At 56.3% G+C, this 18,440-nt stretch overlaps 1 protein-coding gene across 35 annotated transcripts in view, besides 4 other annotated features; it reads left to right on the plus strand.

Annotated features, from left to right (window-relative positions):
- Positions 1-18,440, plus strand: part of PTPRF (protein tyrosine phosphatase receptor type F) — a 101,616-nt gene that overhangs the window by 52,494 nt on the left and 30,682 nt on the right. For 18 of the 35 annotated variants that reach the window (XM_011541873.3, XM_011541871.4, XM_011541872.4 and 15 more), the window contains 6 exons: positions 4,266-4,376; positions 8,538-8,549; positions 14,187-14,456; positions 16,428-17,009; positions 17,268-17,404; positions 17,913-18,057. In XM_011541873.3, coding sequence (XP_011540175.1) covers positions 4,266-4,376; positions 8,538-8,549; positions 14,187-14,456; positions 16,428-17,009; positions 17,268-17,404; positions 17,913-18,057 — 1,257 coding nt within the window. Of the gene's footprint in view, positions 1-1,365; positions 1,384-4,265; positions 4,377-8,537; positions 8,550-14,186; positions 14,457-16,427; positions 17,010-17,267; positions 17,405-17,912; positions 18,058-18,440 lie in introns of all 35 variants that reach the window. The other 17 variants (XM_005271080.4, NM_002840.5, XM_047426507.1 and 14 more) reach the window with 3 other exon arrangements.
- Positions 191-1,053: an enhancer, noted in NCBI's record as "H3K27ac-H3K4me1 hESC enhancer chr1:44040406-44041268 (GRCh37/hg19 assembly coordinates)". NCBI's record gives its function as "activates a minimal SCP1, AML or CMV promoter by ChIP-STARR-seq in naive H9 embryonic stem cells {active_cell/tissue: H9 hESC(naive)}" and the evidence as "EXISTENCE:reporter gene assay evidence [ECO:0000049][PMID:30033119]".
- Positions 1,054-1,914: an enhancer, noted in NCBI's record as "H3K27ac-H3K4me1 hESC enhancer chr1:44041269-44042129 (GRCh37/hg19 assembly coordinates)". NCBI's record gives its function as "activates a minimal SCP1, AML or CMV promoter by ChIP-STARR-seq in primed H9 embryonic stem cells {active_cell/tissue: H9 hESC(primed)}" and the evidence as "EXISTENCE:reporter gene assay evidence [ECO:0000049][PMID:30033119]".
- Positions 6,718-7,539: an enhancer, noted in NCBI's record as "H3K27ac-H3K4me1 hESC enhancer chr1:44046933-44047754 (GRCh37/hg19 assembly coordinates)". NCBI's record gives its function as "activates a minimal SCP1, AML or CMV promoter by ChIP-STARR-seq in primed H9 embryonic stem cells {active_cell/tissue: H9 hESC(primed)}" and the evidence as "EXISTENCE:reporter gene assay evidence [ECO:0000049][PMID:30033119]".
- Positions 7,701-7,970: an enhancer, noted in NCBI's record as "active region_919". NCBI's record gives its function as "activates an Ori minimal core promoter by ATAC-STARR-seq in GM12878 lymphoblastoid cells {active_cell/tissue: GM12878}" and the evidence as "EXISTENCE:reporter gene assay evidence [ECO:0000049][PMID:35858748]".

Below are 18,440 nucleotides of genomic sequence, written 5' to 3' on the forward strand. Positions count from 1 at the left end.
TTTTGCATTAGGGCAATTGTGATAGCACATGTCATGTAGCCTCTGAAAAACTCTACGTTCATGAGAGAAAGTGTATAAAGCAAATAATTTCTTAGTATTATGAAAACAGTTTTGACCTTGCAGACCTCCTTATGGACCTCCTGAAAGGGTCTCTTGGAGAGAGAGAATCATTGTGCGGATTCTTCCCACATAACCCTCACTCCCAGGTCCCAGCCTTTGCCCTCTCCCCTGCCTCTGCATCTGCAGGACTGGCAGCCTCATCCTGTGGGCAGGCTATGAGTTAGATGGACCTTGTCAAGTCCTTCCACTTCACTCACAAGCTGGTGTGACCTTGGGCTTTGAGTAATTCCCTGAATGTCTCTTGGCCTCTGTTTTCTCATTTGAACTTAGAGATGAAGAATTCCTCTAGGTGCTGTTGTCAAGTTCCATGAAACGGATTGGTGTTGATTTTTCTGCACACTTCCCAATCCCCAGACGTGGGCAGGAAGCAGGCAGCAGGGCAGGGTAGACGTGGGCTGGACCTGGGCCCATCTGTGGGCTCCTCACTCCTCTGGGGAAGGCAGTGGTTGCACAGGGGGCTTGAGCCTCAGAGAAGGTACCTGTTGGGGATGAAACCCGCTCAAATCTCCTAATAGGCCTGGATATGGAGGGTGAACGCCTGGCCCTCTGGGTTACCAACCCTCAGGGTTATGAGGTGCTAGACAGGAAAAGGGTGGGCCCTGATCTCTGCCTCTCGCCAGCCAGGCCAAATTGGGGAAGTTCAGTAGTCCCCCAGTTTTTAGCAGGGTTGAGTGGGCTTTCTAGGGACTCTGTCTCTGGGCTGTGAGTTTGCTGAGTCCTGCTGCCCGTTCCTCTCGGCTGGGCTGCGTGTTGTGGGAGGCCCAGTGTGCTAGTAGCCCATGGCAAGCCCTCCCTTTAGCCTGTGTCCTGTCTGCCTTAACACCAGGCTTTGTTTTGGTAAGTGCTTTGTTTTGGAATCTTACCCACCGGTGGGATTTGGGTGGCCCTGTGGGGTGGGGTTACTACCTCTTTTCTTCACCTTCCCCCTCCATTGGCCCCAGCCAGTGGGGTCTGCAGGAGTCCTGACTCACCTCCCTGATTCTCGTCACCCCCAGCCCCACTGAGCCCCCTCCTCCTCCCCAGAGCAGAGCCAGTGACCTGGGACACAGCTTCACTGACACTCAGTCTGGCTCTGCCTGCTTGCTCACACACTGTCCGTGTCGGCCTAACTCAGGCCTCAATTTCTCCATGTATTTAAGGCCCTTTCTTGTGTTTTATTTTACCTGATTTGGCTTTGTGTGGCTTTCCTTCCTTTTATACTAATGCTTCTCTCTGATCTTATTTGCATTCAAATTACCTCGCCAGGTGGTTCACCAATCAGAGGTAAGAATGCTGTCCGTGCCTCTCGCCACACCACGCCTTGCCACTGCCGTCACCTCCACTCCATCCCGTCCAGTCTGTCACCTCCCCATCCCCATCCCAACCTCTTCAGCCTCCTCATCTCCAGCTCCAGCACCCCCAACACCACCGGCCACCACACACATCCACTCTCAGTCATTCCCTCCTGTGGACTCATCCATTGCAAGTCTGAATTGTGAAGATACTCGCCGGGCCCCGCCTAGGACAGCAAGCCCTGCTGCCCAGGCCTTCCAGGCCATCCCCACAGAAGGGACCCCATCAGCTCCTACTGTGAAACTTAGCCTGTCCCCCGGCTTCCCTAGACAGAAGAGCTTCCCTTGAGGTTGAGGAGTGTGACCAAGCCTTGCCTTTTCTCTTGACAGTCTCTTTTGGGGGGACCTCAATTATTACTTGACTTTCCCTTTAGTATCCCGGCTCTGTACCGTGGTAGAATGAGGATCATCCCTTCAGCCTGGCAAGGATTAGGAGGAATGTTCACTTAAGAGTTCTGTGTAGGTGCTAGGATGACAACAGGGAGGTAAACAGGCTCGTGCGTAACTCCATCACCTGACCTGTCAGCTCGGAGTCCCCGCTAGGCTGCCTCCACGCAGCAGGGCCCTGCAGCCTAAGAGTTAAAAGCACAGATTCTGGACTCAGGAAGATCCAGGTTCAAATCTGACTTACCACCTATGTGATCTTCAGAAACTCAGTTCATCTCTCAGAAGTGTATTTCCTCTTTAAATTGGGTCACGGCCACCTGCCGCACAGGGTCATGAGAATTAGAGGAGAGGAGGATGTGTAGTGTCTGGCGCAGAGCAGACACCTGTAAAATGGTGGCTTGTCTATTCACATCATTTTCTCTCCAGTTCTCTCAGTGTCTGGGCACATCTAGACCTTCAGAGCTCAGGACCAGGATGGTCTCAGGCAAGAGCAGCTGCCTTCCTGGGTGCTATCTTGCCCATCACCCGGAGGCTGGCTCTTGCTTCACCTGGGAGCCCCCCAATCCCCCTGCCCATCTACTCAGCCTGTGGTGACTCTTTGTTGTCCCTGCTCCTGGGTCCTGGTGTTGGTTCCAGATTTGGGGATTTCTGTATGCAAATAGGCACCCAGTCTCTGTTAGGCCCCCTGACCACTCTTAGGCTCTTGTTGCAGAGGAACCTCCTATTTTCTGGGTCAGAAATTTCACCCAGGAACCACTTTCTGCCCCAAGCCTGTGGCACCAGCCACCAGGTCTCCCTCACCCCACCCACACCCCCCTGCCTCACTCAGGTGACCTTAGGGCAGCCTCGACCCCTCAGCGGCCTGAACCCGACCTGCTTGAAGGAACATTTTCTGTACTAGTGTCCATCCATCCCATCAGCATGACCTGTTGGGTGCCCATCAGGGCTGCTCTTAAAGGAGATGGTATTTGGCATGTGCACTGGGCCCTGGTGCTCCCTGGCATCTGGTGGGGAGGGCTGAGGCCAGCACCAAAGAGGCAGGCTGGTCCTGTGTCCTGCATTGGTGGCCTCCCCTCTTCCTTCACCTCCAGCTGCCAGCCCCCTGGGGGTTCCCAGTCCCTCCTGCTGCCCTGGGTTAGATGGTGGAAGAGGGACATCAGGTAGTGAGGTGGCTATAGGTCAGACCCAGGGTGGTACCCCTTTGGGCCCCAACCGTGAGAGCATGACTTGGAACTCTTCCTCTGGCTCCTGTCCAGTCCAGGCAGGGGGGGCCCGGCAGCTTCTGTCCATGTCCTGTGTGGGTGTGATTGTCCATCAGCCTGGGCCCTGGGAAGGTGGGGGCTGTCAGGTTAGGCTGGCTGTTCTGTGCAGGAGGTGGTTTTGTCAGACTGTGTCCTGTGGGGGTTCTTAACTGTTGGACCGTCCTGTGTGGGTGTAATTGTCTGTTGGATTGTTCCAGGGAGGGGTGTGCTGCCTGTGCCCGGGGGTGTGTCTGTCACAGACAGCTTGCCCAGTGTGCTTTCACAAGCAGTTTTTTCAAGTGTTTATTGGTGGGGCCAGGGGACGGCCAAGTCCAGTGGATCCACCCCCACCTTGCCGCTCTGCCTTGGCCTCCCCCGCCAGGACCTGTCAGAACTGGCCTCAAGCCCAAGATTCCTCCACCCTTTCTGAGGGTCCTTTTGCTACCCACCCCGATCCTGGCTCCTGTCTGTCCGTCTGCGGCCAGAGCAGCCCCTCAGGGCACTGGCCCGAGTGAGAGCTCCAACCTCCATTAGCCTCTTGAATTATGCAGGAGCCGTGGTGGGTCGAAGCACTTTAGCAGGACCGGGCTGAGGAGTGGAGCTGGAATGGGTGGGGCTGGCGGGGAGGGGGTGGAGTAGGAGGGGAAGATGGTGCTGGGAGCAGAGGCTGCTGGGCACCAGGCCCCCAGGGCAAACCCATTCCTTCCTGGTGGGCGGCAAATTCTCAAGCTCCAGCCTGATGAGGGCATGGCGTGCTTGTGAATCCCAGGCCCGCCAGTCTGCAGGCTGCTCCCACACCTGGCTCTGACTGGCTTAGTGGGGCTGCGGGGCCAGGAACACTAACAGGGATGTTGATTGGGAAATAGGCTCCAGTACTGGCAAGAGTGTGGCAGAAACTGAATGGAGCTGGGGGTTGGGGTACAGTCCCTGGCAGAGCAAAGGTGGGTCTTGCTGGACTGTGGGGAGCATGAGATTGTGCTCCAAAGCACAACCGTTGGTTCTAGACAGGAGGCCACTGGGCTCTTCAGGGAGAGCTTCCTGGAAGCAGCAGGGGTGCCAGGGTGTGGCCTGGATGAGCTTCGACATCTGGTCAACATCAGCCACAGATGCTGTCGAGACCTCTCACCGTGTTCCAGGCCACACTCGACATGGGCCGTGCCTGACCTCTCGCTTCGTGTACCCACAGGTGCCTTGCAGATAGAGAGCAGTGAGGAATCCGACCAAGGCAAGTACGAGTGTGTGGCGACCAACTCGGCAGGCACACGTTACTCAGCCCCTGCGAACCTGTATGTGCGAGGTAAGGACTCAGGCAGTGCCTGGCCCCTGTCACCACAGAGCTGTGCTGCACCTGCCGGGCTCTCTGCCCAGAGCCCTTGGTGCAGACACGCAAGGGACTGCCATGGGCCCAGTCTCTTCTCCTTCCTGCTTCTTTCTGCAGCAGCAGCAACAGCTCCCACTGGGCAAGTTCCTGGCGTCTGCCACTACTTCGCCTTCCTTCCTTGCAGGCCCATGGGGAAGCAGCCACTCTTGGGAGCATTTGTATCTTTTGTAGGTCTTGCCGCATGGGCCCGGAGCCCCATGGGAATTTGGAGCCATCCAATCCGACTTCTTGGTGTATGTGCATGTGTGTGTGCACACACGGGCACACTTATCTGTGTGTAAATGCATGCATACCTGGCCTGGCTTTCCTTCAGTACATCCTCCTGCCTGCCGCAGCATGGTGGGCTCCAGAACCACCATGGCTCTGGGCTTTGGGGTAGTAAGGCCTCAGGAACGGACCAGGCCAGGTGAGCCTATCCTCTGGCCAGGTCTTCCTGGAGCCTTCCTGGAGGAACCCTTGTGTTCAGCTGTGAGCCCCTGTGGTTATGTTGCCTCGGGTGAGCACCTGGTGTGTTCCAGATGTTCTTTGCTGGGAGCGAGTGGACAGTGTGCTTTCTGGAAGTCCAAGTTCCCAGCAGAGAGGAACCTGGGGACTGTTTTGGGGTTTCCAATCTCTGCTATGCTCACAGCCTAGGGGTGACTAAAGCTGGCCACCTTGCCCTTTCCTGAGAACACACTGGGTCTGGTATACATGTGCCCAGAAGGGGCCCTGAGAGCCCCTTCTACCCTCATACTGTCCCCTCACCTAGCCTTCTTGTACAGATGGATGTCATTAAAAGTTAAACTGTTGACCGGGTGTGGTGGCTCACGCCTGTAATCCCAGCACTTTGGGAGGCTGAGGCAGGCAGATCACGAGGTCAGGAGATCGAGACCATCCTGGCCAACATGGTGAAACCCCGTCTCTACTAAAACTACAAAAATTAGCTGGGCGTGGTGGCGCGTGCCTGTAATCCCAGCTACTCAGGAGGCTGAGGTAGGAAAATCGCTTGAACCAGAGGTTGCAGTGAGCCAAGGTCGCGCCACTGCACTCCAGCTTGGTGAAAGAGCAAGACTCCATCTCAAAAAAAAAAAAAAAGTACAACTGTCTCCACCCAGGGGATTGTAAAGGAAAGCGGACATGGCTCCTTGCAGTGATGATTCCATCACGCCAAGTGCTTAGCGCGGCTTCCTGAGGGGTGTCGTCTGACTCTCCACCCAGTGCACGTGGTGGGTGATGGCGGTGGCCTGTCCGACTCTTTGGGGCCATGTGGTCAGACTTGCTTACTCAGAGCAGAGAGAATTAGGCTGTCAAGGCTGTCAACCAAAATACACTTATCAAGGAGTTGCTGTCTGTCATGGGAGAGGGTGGTTCTGGAGAGGCCACAGGCTGCCAGCCCATTCGGTGACCAGTTGAGCTGCAGAGGAACTATTTGTGGTGGGCAAATTGTGCTTCAGAGACTATTAAAGATGCTTCATGAGAGTTGGGGGCATGGGATGGGAGGTCCCCTAGCTTACTGTCAGGTGTCTTACTCCTCAAGGCTCAGGCCTCAGGTCAGCTTGTCTGTCTTCAGGAACAAGAGCCTGAAAACTTCCCAAATGGCCTAGAGGAGTGGAGTTGTAAGCGGCACAGCCTTGGCCCCACCCTGCCCCAGGCAGAGTGTCTGGCAGGCATTGGGGCTGGCGAGTCCACTCCAACAGAGGAGCAGCTGGAATGACCCTTCTCAAAGATCTGCCTCCTCCCACCCTGACTATCGCAAATGCTGTGCTCTCTAGAGCTCTGCTCACAAGACTGTAGGGTCGAGAGTGGCAGTTCCAGGCCTCAGCAAGAAAGCCTTTGCATGTGGCTGCACCAGGGAGAGGAGAGGCCCAGTAGAGCCACTGTAAACCCAAGCCAGCTGCAAGGGCGTGGCCTATGGGCACATTTCCCAGGGCACAGCTACAGGAGGCAGTGCTGAGGCAGAAGAAGGCCCAGAGGTGGATGGACCCCCGCATTGTCCTCTTGACTAGGCAGCATTCTCTGAAGTCACTGTTACACTGGCCCCAGCCCTGGAGGCAGAGCAGTGGGTCTCTTTGGAGATCGACTGAGCTCAGCTGCTGTAGCTGGCAGCTCAGTCACTGCCCAGGGAGCTCTTATGTGCAGCCCCTTGGAGCATCCCTGTCTGTGGGGCTCCCTGTTTACACATGGTAGACTCAGGCAGGGCCCTGACTGGCTCTTGCCATGGCCCAACCCCTAACTCTACCAGCTCTTCTTGAATCTACCCTTCTGGCTCCATCCCCACATGCCTTTTGGTAGGAAATACGGGGGTTCCTTTAGTTCCAGCCCCACTTGCCAGGGACTCCAAAACAGCCAAACCTGACTTCTGTTGTCTCTCTCACACACACATACGACGTTCCTCTAGGCCCTGATGTCTCAGGACCGTTTCTAAGCTCTGTCCCCAGGACCTGCCTCATGTAGACCCTAATTGAATCTACACCACCCTGCTTTGCCAAGAGCAACCTGCCCCATAGGCCCTACTGTCCTACTGACAGGACTTAGGCACACCTGAAAGGCCCTGCTCCCTGGGTGCCTTGCCTCTGGTGCCCCCACTGCTCGTCATCTCATGGTTGGCAAAACCCCTGCCTTCTGCCCTCAGCAGTACTAGGGGCCCTTCAGCCCCAGCGCCTGGGGACAGCCTGTACTGGGCTGACCACCAGCTCTGCATCCTGAGCCCTGCTTGTGGGTGGATGGCCGTGGAGGAGTCCCCAGTGCCAGCCTGCTTTCTGGCCTGCACCCCGTCCCATCTCCCAGCAGAGAGGCTTCGAGGTTTCCTCCCACAGCAGGCTCCTGAGCCTCAGACGGCTTGATGTGGGCTCTAGCCCTGAACTTCTCAGCCGCAGCACTGTTGACATTTTGGGCTGGACGATTCTTAGTTGTGAGGGGCCATCCTGTGCATTGGAGGGTGTTTAGCAGCATCTCTAGCTCACTAGATGCCAGTGGCACCCCTCAGTCAAAACAAACGTTGCAACGTGTCACCTGGGGGAAATTACTGATGGCTTCCCACTGCCATTGTCTCCACCCATCTGACTCTCTTCACCTGTGTCCACTGGCCGCAAGGCTTCGTCTCCTCATCAGACTTGGCTTCGGTGTCTACCTCACATCTCCCTTCTGTCCCCCAAATTCTCAGGGCTCCCAGTGTCGCTCTCTGAGGCCACGCGACTGCTACATTTAATGGGACAGTACACGTGAAGCACCAGGCACATTGCCAGGCACACAGGAAGCACTTGCTAGTCAGTAGCCTCTGCAGCTAGCACTCGGCTACTAGTCAGTAGCCTCTCGGATAGCACTGTGGGGGGATGTGTCATCCAGTTACATCTGACTTTGTTCACAGTTGCCTGCAGCTCCACCCACAGTCTAGCAGGCCCAGGCATGCTGGGTGGGCCAGAGCCTTTCTCCTTCACCACCTGACTCTCCCTGAGTGACTCATTCTCTCCTTCCATCTACAGCTCTCTGGGTGTACAGCTGCTGGGGCCAGGGTGGAGCCCTGCCCTCCTCAGAGCCTGGCCTACCTGTGCCAGGACTACCAGCCTTCCCCCTTTCTCTAGGGACCTGGCTGCGGGCCACAGCTGTCTAAAACAGGGACAGTGCCTTTTTCCCCACAGGTGCCCAGACATGCTCCTTACACCGGTGGTGTGTGTGGGGGTGGCTTCTAGTGGCTCCTGTACCTTGGCAGGTTTGTGGGCTGGGTGGGCCTTGACCCCAGAGCCCGGTCCACAGGGTCTGTCTGAGCTGTGGGGTGCGTGTGAGGCATGGGGGCCTGCCTGTGCCCCATTTTCACCTGCCCCGGCCCCACCCTCGGCCTCCCTGGCGCCTGCTGGCGGGCCTCAGCCCTGTCCACCATGTCCTCCATGAGTCCTGAGTCTTTTGTGAGTGATGTGGTTCGTGTGCACCTGTGTGCATGTGTGTGTGCGAGGGGGCACAGGAGTCTCGTCTCGTCTCCGTGCTGTGTGGGCAGATGAAGGTTGGCCTGTTTTTACTCTCTCTGTGTTTCTCCTTGTCTTTTTTTTATTCCCTCCTCATCTTCATCGCACTCTGCCATCAACCCAAACTCTCATCTCTCAGATCAGCGAGAAGGTTGGTCCTTTTCACTTCTTATCCATCTACAGTTCGCCCATCGATGGGACACGCCTGTCAGTAGGGCCCAGCGGGCTCGGTCAGCTCCCTCAGGCTCACTGCGCCGTGCCTGCCTGCCAGTCTCTGTTGTTTGGGCCGGCGGGCAGGCAGGACCAGGGATGGGTGGGCAGACCCCTGACCTGCATGTTCCTGCTGCTTGGGTCCCTGGTGCACCACGTGTCTGCATGTCCCCTTAGCCTGGTTCCCCTGCAAGGGTGGTGGGGTGGGCATGCTGCATGGCATGAAACTGTACCCCACCTTTGCACCCAGGCCGGGCCAGCTGTCTGATCCAGGCGGTGCTCAGGAATGGTTGTGGGGGGCTGTGGTCAGAGAGAGGTGTAAGACCTGTAGCGCTTTGTGTGCACCTGTGGGACCTTTCACCGCCCTCCTCGCCTAGAGACCCAGGCTCAGCCGAAACTACTGGAACATTAAGGCGAGAGGCTAGAGCAGGCTGTCCTCCCAGTATCCTGCAGCACAGGGCAAAAGTCCTGCAGTGTGTACCCTGTCCTTGAGGCCCTCAGGTCCCCCACCAGGGCTTAATGGGGCAGTCAGCCCTGGTCTGCCTCAGGGAGCTTGGTGTCCATGGCGCAGGGTGAGTAGCGTCATCTTGGCACCCTGAGGAAGTCTCCCATAAGGTTGTCTTTTCCTTCTCCAGCCAGATCCAAATTAAGATCCTCCTACCTGCCCCAGGCCCCTCTGCCCAAGCTTCCCAGCTAGCTCCCGTGTCTGTTTGAGGGTGGAATTTAGCCCACCAGCCAGCTAACTGACATTCCTTAGCTTGATGCTTTGCATTCAGACTCAAGTTGCTTCTACCTGGAGTAACTGAACGGTCAGCTGCAACTTAGCAGGATCCATATGGGAGCCTGGAAGTGGCCCCTGACTCAGCCACAGGTTAGGAAGGGTTTCCTGGAGACTGTCCTTGAGCCCATTCCAGAGCAGGTCTGTTTGGGGCTTGGTTTTCCGCCCCACCCTTGGAGCCAGACCCCCACCACTGATGCTGGGGTTGGCAGCAGGGGCTAGTGGTCATTCATGTATCACATGGTCTGTGTGGTCAGAGGAGACTCACCTGTCCATTGGGTTTTGGGGGTTCAGGATAGCAGTGTAGGACAGGCTGAGCCTCAGGGAGCAAACCCAGGCCATCCTCGTTCCCTCTGCCACATCCTCCGTGGCTTGAGTTTCCTCTGTGAGGGTGAGGGAGCCGGTCGAGAGGAGGGCTATAGCCTAGGCTCAGATATCAGCCCTGAGCATCCATCCATATGCACAGCTGAGCACTGGGGCATTTCTGTTACACCATTTTGCTGACCGGGCAGATCTGCGAGGGCGTCCAGAAAACAGTCATCAGCAGAGACAGCCCAGCCCAGAGTGGCTCCTTCCATGCCCCTTCCTCTACCCTCCTGGTCCCTCGTCCCCTCCCTTCCCCCACCCCACCCTATGGTCCCACCAAAAATAAGCACATGGACAAATATTTAGCGGGAAGGCAGACATGAGTTTCTAAATATTCCAGGGGGATTTGCCGGGCTGGTAATTTGTTTGGTGCTGATAATTGCATCTTACATTTTTCCAGCTTTACTTAAAACTGTGTGCCGGGTTTGCCGGCATTTAATTACTGCTCTGCGGCAGCCACAAGGTTATTTATTAAAGAGTTATTTTATCTTGATACAGTGGATCCTGCCCCTCATCCCCTCCTTAATGTTGTGTTATTTTCATCAGAGAAATTTCTCTGAGTGAATGCAGATTGCGGGGCTGCCTCCCCCTGCGATTAGGCTGTCACTCTACTGAATGCTGATGCCTCTGGGCGCCGCACCGCCCTATTATAGGGGGTTGTCAGCGCAAATAATTAGACTTAAAAGTTACAGCTGAAATATAATCCAGAAATGGCAGGGCCCTGTTTTGGAAATTGTCTATAAAATGTCAGCACTAAGGATGCACAGGGAACGGTAATATACTGGCATTGTTGGAGCCTAAGATTAGACCCTGAGTGCATTTTTCCCAGCTCCAGTTTTTCTTTCCCTGCTGTTGCTTCTGTCAATAGACTGTCCAGGGTGAGGCCTGTTCCTTTTTGGAGGCCCTGTGCCTGCAGCAGTGGGTGGAGGATGGTTGGGGCTGCTGCAGTGAGATGCCAGCCACTCCAGCTGTTGGCATGGGGGTGGCTGTCTGGGCAGGTCTAGGATGCGGGTCCCTGTTGGCACTTGGAATACAAGGAGGTTGTCCCTTGCCTGTTTCCCCCACCCTTCCTCTGTAGACATACCCTGACCTCCCTCACATGGAAAATGTCTCAGTCTCAGTAACGTTTCTGCGTGGCTGAAGCCCAGTGTCCTTGTGAGAGTGAAGGTGGTGTGCCCAGGAGCCTCTGGACCTGAGGCCCTTGCTTGGTGTTGCAGGTGACCCTAAAGGCCACTGTTGACCTCTCACACTTATGCCTAGCCCCTAGAGCTCTCCCTGCCCCCTGCATCTAGGAGGGAAAAAATAAACACAACTCTTCTGTGAAGCGCCTCAATTTCCTGACAGCCGCAGGAGTTGGAGGCTTTAGAAGACGTGGCTCAGGGCGTTGGCCTGACCTCCAGGGCTGATCCATGAAGTCCGCCTTTTGGCCTGAAGACCCTGTCCTCCAGGGACAATTTGGGGGTAAAGTCCAGTCAAGTTTCTAGGTTGGTGCCCAAGGTTTATTGGCCAAGGACCTACTTCCTTCTGCTGGGGCTCTTTGTCCTGGTATCCAACGACGTGATTAGGCCCCATGATTCCACCACCGACTGGGGTCAAGCCTGCAATCATGACCTCTCCCTGGCACAGGCTGTCTAAACCCATCCTTACGCCCGCTGGAGCAGCGTCCTCTCCTGCCAGCCTCTGCTAATTCTGATGCTTCTCCCCAGAGCCTTCTGGGTCTTTTTTCAGGCCTGTCAGCTAGGGCTCGAAAGGGTGACAGTTTTTCATCACACAGACCTACTCCTACTACGTATATAAACTTGGTCATGTGGCTTGGTTTTAAAACAGTTCCCTTGACTGTAATTGGCAGGTGATAGCATCTACAGCATGGAAACCTGCACCTAGTAGGTGCTTAAGCATAGCTTCCCTTCCCATGAAGAGGAGGAGACAGGGCACCCACTGGCCGAGAGGACAGGAGAGATTTAGTTCATTAAGGCTGCTCCTCTGTGCTGCCCCCACCCCGCTTCTGTGGCAGGCCTGGACCTGATCTGCAAACAGACTTGCCTGCCTGTGCCTGTCCCTGAGGCCCATCTCCAGAGCAGAGGGAGGGCATGCACCGCTGGGCTGGGTGGTGGTCCTGGCTGAGCCTCCTGCTCTCACCTTGGACCATTTGAGGTGCGTGCTCAGAGAGTCCTTTGTTGCCATGAGACACTTGCCAGCCATGCCCCGGGATCCACCTGTTCTGCCACAAGAACTGTGTCTGTGACATGCTGTCATCATTGGTAGAGACTCCTGGCACTAGAACAGATGACAGAAACCCACTTATACCAGCGTAAGCAAAACAAGGAAGTCCTGTGTTACAAATCTGAAAAGTGTAGTAGATTTGGTGCTGGGCAGGGCTAGATCCAGGTACTTAAACAGGTTGGCCAGTCATTTGTCTGTCTGTTTCTGAGCTCTCCTCTCCTCTGTCGACATCTTTGTTCTCAAGCAGCTTTTCCTGTGTGTTGGGAGAAGCCATCCCCAGCTGCTCTAAGCTTAGCTACCTCAGTAGAGAGAGAAGGTCGCTTTTCTAATAGTTTCTGCGGAAGTCCAAAGGCTGTTTCTCCATAGTCAGATCTGGGTCACACACCCCATGTATGAAGAATGCAGGTAGAAGTGGTTTCCTTAAAGACAATGGGAATGCTCATTGATTTGAGGAGAAAGCAGAACCCTGAATGTCTACAAGATACTCTCATGCCCTAGGTGAACCTGGGGACACAGATCCAGCCCACCAGCACCTGTCAGGCCTGGTCTCTGGGGCTGCCAGGGTTTGGGTTCTGTCTGGAGCACCAGAGTAAGGCAGGCTGTGGAAGGAGTTGAAGCAAGTGCTAAATTAGGTAGGGTCTCTTGGGCTGGGCAGAGGAGTCACTGGGAGCCATGCAGGAGCTTGTTAAACAGGGAGTGGCATCAGATTTGTGCCAGCTGTTTGTGGAGGGCCCGTGAGCAGGAATTGGGGCAGTGGACAACAAGGCAGGAGGACTGACGCAGAACACATTGCAGCAACTCAGGGAAGGATGATGATGGCTTGGACTTTGGTGGTGGCAGTTGCCTGTGTGTATGGAGAGAAATACATGGATTTGGAAGATATGTTATGCCACGCTGTTGACAGGACCTGGTGACTTGCTGAATGTCTGATCTCTGGGTCTAAGTTTTGACCCCTGTATGGTGAGGTCAGACGTTGGACCGGGAGGTCTCTGAAGTTGCTTCTAGCTCTAGTTCTGTGATTTGGGGCTGTGTGAGCAGCATAGTCTGGTGCTTATAGTGGAGATGCTCCTTATGTGGTGCTGTGGGGTCTTTGCATGCCTGGGCCCCCCAGCGAGGGTCCTCAGAGACCAGTGCTCTCAGCAGTGCTCTTGGGTACTGACTAGCCTGCTGCCTGCCGCCTTTGGCCCTGCGTGTGAGAGTGCCCGTGTAGGACACACCCTGGCCTCTGCTCACCAGCTGCATGGCCCATCTGCATGCCAGACATGCCTGCCCACGGCTGGGTTTCATCACCTCCCTTCCCTCTGCATGCTCCTGTGTCTGTGTCAAGCTTCCAACTTCGGGGGCGGGTGGTTCTAGGCTGTACCCTGGACTGAGAAGCTCAGAACAGCTTCTGGTCAGGGGAGTCCAAGGCTGGAGGTCGTGGCCAGGCACAGCCACAGCCACCCCTCCCCTTGAGACCCTTGTTTGTTGGCGCAGGAAGCCGTCTGTTCGGCGCCCTCATCATGTTACTGCCATCGTCATGCCCATCCTGCCCGCAGACCATGTCCCTGGCCTGCCCTGACCCCTGCCCCTCCCCAGTCCTCCTGAGGGCAGCCCTTTTGCTTGGGTTCCCAGGTTGTGCCCTGAGCATGGCTGAGACCCTGGCAGGCGGCCCTGCTGCTTGCCTTATTTCTTCCCCTCAGGCCATGGCCTGGAGGTGGAGGCAGTGACTCCACGGCAGGTGGCTGTGTCCCTCTGGACTGGCCTTCTGCTCTGCCCAGCCATGCTCTGAGGACCCTCCACCCTAGGGCCTGCTTTCTCTCCTTGGTGCTCCAGCCAGGAGCAGGCAGAGATAGGCCCTGGAGAACACCCTGGGTTGTGGTCCTGACCAGGCCTGGACCTTGTACTGAGTCCCTGTGTGACCCTGGGCAGACAGGACCTTCCTGACAGGCCTCAGTTTCCTAGGCTATAAAATGGGAGCTTGGTTGCAAGATCTCTCATTGAGTAAGTCATCGTGCTCCAGACAGTCCCTGAGTGTGGGGGCCACTTCTAGGCTGGAAGTGGGTGGGGTGGGAGTGGATGATGAGCTGGGGTCTGGCGGTGCCACCCCTCCTGTCTCTGAGCATGGGTTTGGCTCTGACCAGAGGGGCTTCCTGAATGAGGGGCCCCTGCCCTTCCATGCAGTCGTGTGTCCTGCCCGGCCTGTGAGTGCCTCTCTCCCTCCTCCTGCAGTGCGCCGCGTGGCTCCTCGTTTCTCCATCCCTCCCAGCAGCCAGGAGGTGATGCCAGGCGGCAGCGTGAACCTGACATGCGTGGCAGTGGGTGCACCCATGCCCTACGTGAAGTGGATGATGGGGGCCGAGGAGCTCACCAAGGAGGATGAGATGCCAGTTGGCCGCAACGTCCTGGAGCTCAGCAATGTCGTACGCTCTGCCAACTACACCTGTGTGGCCATCTCCTCGCTGGGCATGATCGAGGCCACAGCCCAGGTCACAGTGAAAGGTGAGTGTGGCAGGTGCTGTAACCAGTGCCCTCCCTGTCATCTGGGAGGTCCTGGTGGTGGGCGAATGTGAGCTGGCTGCCATGGGCACAGGCATGGCTGAGGGATTCTTGCCCTTTCCTGGGTGTCCCTGCCCTGGGGTCCTCCAGCCCTTAGAGGGAGGGAGGGATTTCTGTTATTAGCCGGCTTAATGATAATAGTTAAGGCATATTGAGTTTCTTGGTGGGAGACATCATGCTAGCAAGCACAGTTGATTTTGTTTTTTTCTGTTTTACCCTGGGAGATAGGTGCTCTTATTATTTCCATTTTTGAAACGAGGGAACCGAGGCACAGAGAGGGTGTATCACTTGCCCCAGGGTCACATAAAAATAAATGACAGAGCAGGGACTTAAACCCAGTGTGGTCTGAATCCATATCTCACCCTCACCACTACATAGTACCAGACCTTCAGGTTTAATAGCCTCCCAGCAAGAAGGGTGTGGTAAAATAGTAGGGGAAAGTGTGTTCTCTCTGCCCTGATACCTGGGGACAGGCACACATGTATTACACATATGTCACATATATGTAACCGATTCTGGCCAGGCACGGTGGCTCATTCCTGTAAGCCTAGCGCTTTGGGAGGCCAAGTTGGAAGGATTGCTTGAGCTCAGGAGTTTGAGACCAGCCCAGTTAACGTAGTGAGACCCCCATCTCTACGAAAAAAAAAAAAAAAAAAAAACTGGGCATGGTGGCACACACCTGTGGCCCAGCTACTTGGGAGGGCTGAGACAGGAGGATCACTTGAGCCCAGGAGGGTGAGGCTACAGTGACGCAGTGAGCCATGATCACACCACTGCACTCCAGCCTGAGTGACAGAGCGAGACCCTATGAAAAAAAAAAAAACCAGATTCCTTCCTGGTCTCCCCGCTGCAATTCTCAACAGCCTCTGATCCATTATCTGTTTTGCAGCTTGAGTGATCTTTAAAAAATGTAATTCAGGATCAAGTGACTCCCTTTTAGGAAAGGGAGAAACACCTTCCAGTGGCTTCCCGTTGTTTTAGGATACAGATCAGGATCCTCACTGTGGTCTCCCAGGGCCACTGGCTTCCCACCCTGTCACGCGCCAGCTGTCCAGACACATGCTGCTTTCCGTTTGCCGTGCTCCTTGCCTGGCCCCTTCTGTCACTGGCTCCATGTACCCTTCCAGGCCTCAGCTTGGTGATGCTTTCCTTCCCTCATCACCGCATCCAAGGAGATTCCCTGGATCTTACTCCACCTCAGCACCCTGATTCCTGCTGTCCTTGCACATGGCAGAATCATGAGTACGATCGACTTGTTTATTGATTCTCTCTTGTACTGAGGTGTAAACTCCATGAGAGCAGGGATGTGACTGTGTGGCATTGTAGCCCCAGCACAATGTCTGGCATTGAGTGGGTGCTTGTTAATTATTTGTTGAATGACTGTGGACTCAGGACCTTTCCACTTCAATTTGAGCCAAGCTGCAGGGTCTGTGGGGCCAGCAGCCCCATCACTCTTTCTATCCGGGCCAGTCCCTAAGGAAATATCTCCCCTTCCCCTGCCTATTACACATACTTTCCACCAGGTGGGCTCAGGTGACCTGCAGAGGCACATAGCTGCTACCCAGTCTGGGTGTCTTTCATCTACATGGGACTGCAAGGGTCACATCACCTCCAGGTCTGTTTGTTAGATGAGTCTGGTGTGCTGATGGGAGGGTCCAGTGAATCCCACAGTTGATATGTGTACATACTAAATGACCCAAGGCCCTGGGTGGGGCACTGACAGGCCTGGCCACTGTCCCTCACTTGTGCCTTCAGAGGTCACCATAAGCTTTTCCAGCCATTTTTCAAGGTAGGCTGTGGGTATCAGCCACACTCAGGTGACCCCACCAGATATCCTGGATAATCCCCAAGTCTAGGGTTGGTTCCTAAGGATCTTGACCTCGGGCAGCTTTGAGCCTTCCACTTTGTCTCCAGCTCTTCCAAAGCCTCCGATTGATCTTGTGGTGACAGAGACAACTGCCACCAGTGTCACCCTCACCTGGGACTCTGGGAACTCGGAGCCTGTAACCTACTATGGCATCCAGTACCGCGCAGCGGGCACGGAGGGCCCCTTTCAGGAGGTGGATGGTGTGGCCACCACCCGCTACAGCATTGGCGGCCTCAGCCCTTTCTCGGAATATGCCTTCCGCGTGCTGGCGGTGAACAGCATCGGGCGAGGGCCGCCCAGCGAGGCAGTGCGGGCACGCACGGGAGAACAGGCGCCCTCCAGCCCACCGCGCCGCGTGCAGGCACGCATGCTGAGCGCCAGCACCATGCTGGTGCAGTGGGAGCCTCCCGAGGAGCCCAACGGCCTGGTGCGGGGATACCGCGTCTACTATACTCCGGACTCCCGCCGCCCCCCGAACGCCTGGCACAAGCACAACACCGACGCGGGGCTCCTCACGACCGTGGGCAGCCTGCTGCCTGGCATCACCTACAGCCTGCGCGTGCTTGCCTTCACCGCCGTGGGCGATGGCCCTCCCAGCCCCACCATCCAGGTCAAGACGCAGCAGGGAGGTAGGTGGGGGCATGCCGGCTGGGCAGCCAACAGCAGAGAAGGGGAGGCTGAGGTTGTGGCGGTGCCTTTCCCCCTCCCTCGGCTGTGAGGCTGGGGGCTCTTGGGAGGATCAAGGTGCCGTATTCCATAGATGTGTGGTCAGTTGGGATGTAGGATAAGGGTGTGAGGTTAGGACCTGACTTCCTCGGCTCCCTCCTCCCTGGGCACCCCTGACCTCACGCAGATGAGGCTGACCTGCCTGGTGTGGGGTGTTGCAGTGCCTGCCCAGCCCGCGGACTTCCAGGCCGAGGTGGAGTCGGACACCAGGATCCAGCTCTCGTGGCTGCTGCCCCCTCAGGAGCGGATCATCATGTATGAACTGGTGTACTGGGCGGCAGAGGACGAAGACCAACAGGTGTGCAGCGGGCAGAGAAGCACTGAGGGGGTCTCCTGGTCCCTGAGGGTCTGTGATGGGCTTAACCCAGGAGGGTATTTTCTGGATTCTGTGGCTTATGTGGGCACAGCCTCTAAGGTTTCTGCTGGAGGCTTAGTGGTGCATGCGTGTCATGTGGCCCGCACAGCCTGTATGAATCTGGAGTCATTGTCACCCTGTGCTAGGGGCAAAGTCCCCAGGGTCTGCCTTGGGTTTCCTAGGCTCTGTGGCTCATATGACTGGCAGAGCCCTGAAGTTTCCCCAGAAGCCATGCGTCCCAGATGGCTCCTGTGGTCCATGTGGTCTGTGAGGTGTCTGTGGCATGGGCTAAGCCCTGAGTTCCTTTTGTGCTCCATGTGGCCTTATGGTGTGGAGCCAGTCCTGGAGCCGTGGTGGGTCCAGAGGTGTCACATTGCAGCCCATGTTGGGGAACAACCTGTGAGTGACTTTGAGCTCAGAGCTGTCAGTGAGTGCTCCCTGCTCTTCCCAGCACAAGGTGACCTTCGACCCAACCTCCTCCTACACACTAGAGGACCTGAAGCCTGACACACTCTACCGCTTCCAGCTGGCTGCACGCTCGGATATGGGGGTGGGCGTCTTCACCCCCACCATTGAGGCCCGCACAGCCCAGTCCAGTAAGTGTCTCCCAAGTCCGCTGCCTGTTACACCTGGGCTGGGACACACACACACACATGCACACACATCCTTCCCCCTCGACCAGGCAGGTGGGGTGGTCAGGTCTGCTGGCCAAACCGAACTCTGGCCTGGGCTCTGAGTCTGGGCCTCGGGAGAGGGCCAGGTAAGTGCCTCCCAGTCTGTCCAGTCCAGGCGGCTGCTGCCCTCCCTGCTCCCTGCCCAGCCTCCTGCCCCTCCTCCCGCCCATGCCCCACACACTGCCCAGGTAAGTTCTGTGTCTGTGCCTCATCTCCGCCCCCACTCTGTGCTGGTCACACTAGCTTAGCTGATGGGCCATCCTCGGTGGGTCTGCCATGTCCCAGACCTGCTTTGGCGGCTGTTT

Source organism: Homo sapiens, chromosome 1 (genome assembly GCF_000001405.40).
Source record: "Homo sapiens chromosome 1, GRCh38.p14 Primary Assembly".
NCBI classification, from domain to species: Eukaryota; Metazoa; Chordata; class Mammalia; order Primates; family Hominidae; genus Homo; species Homo sapiens.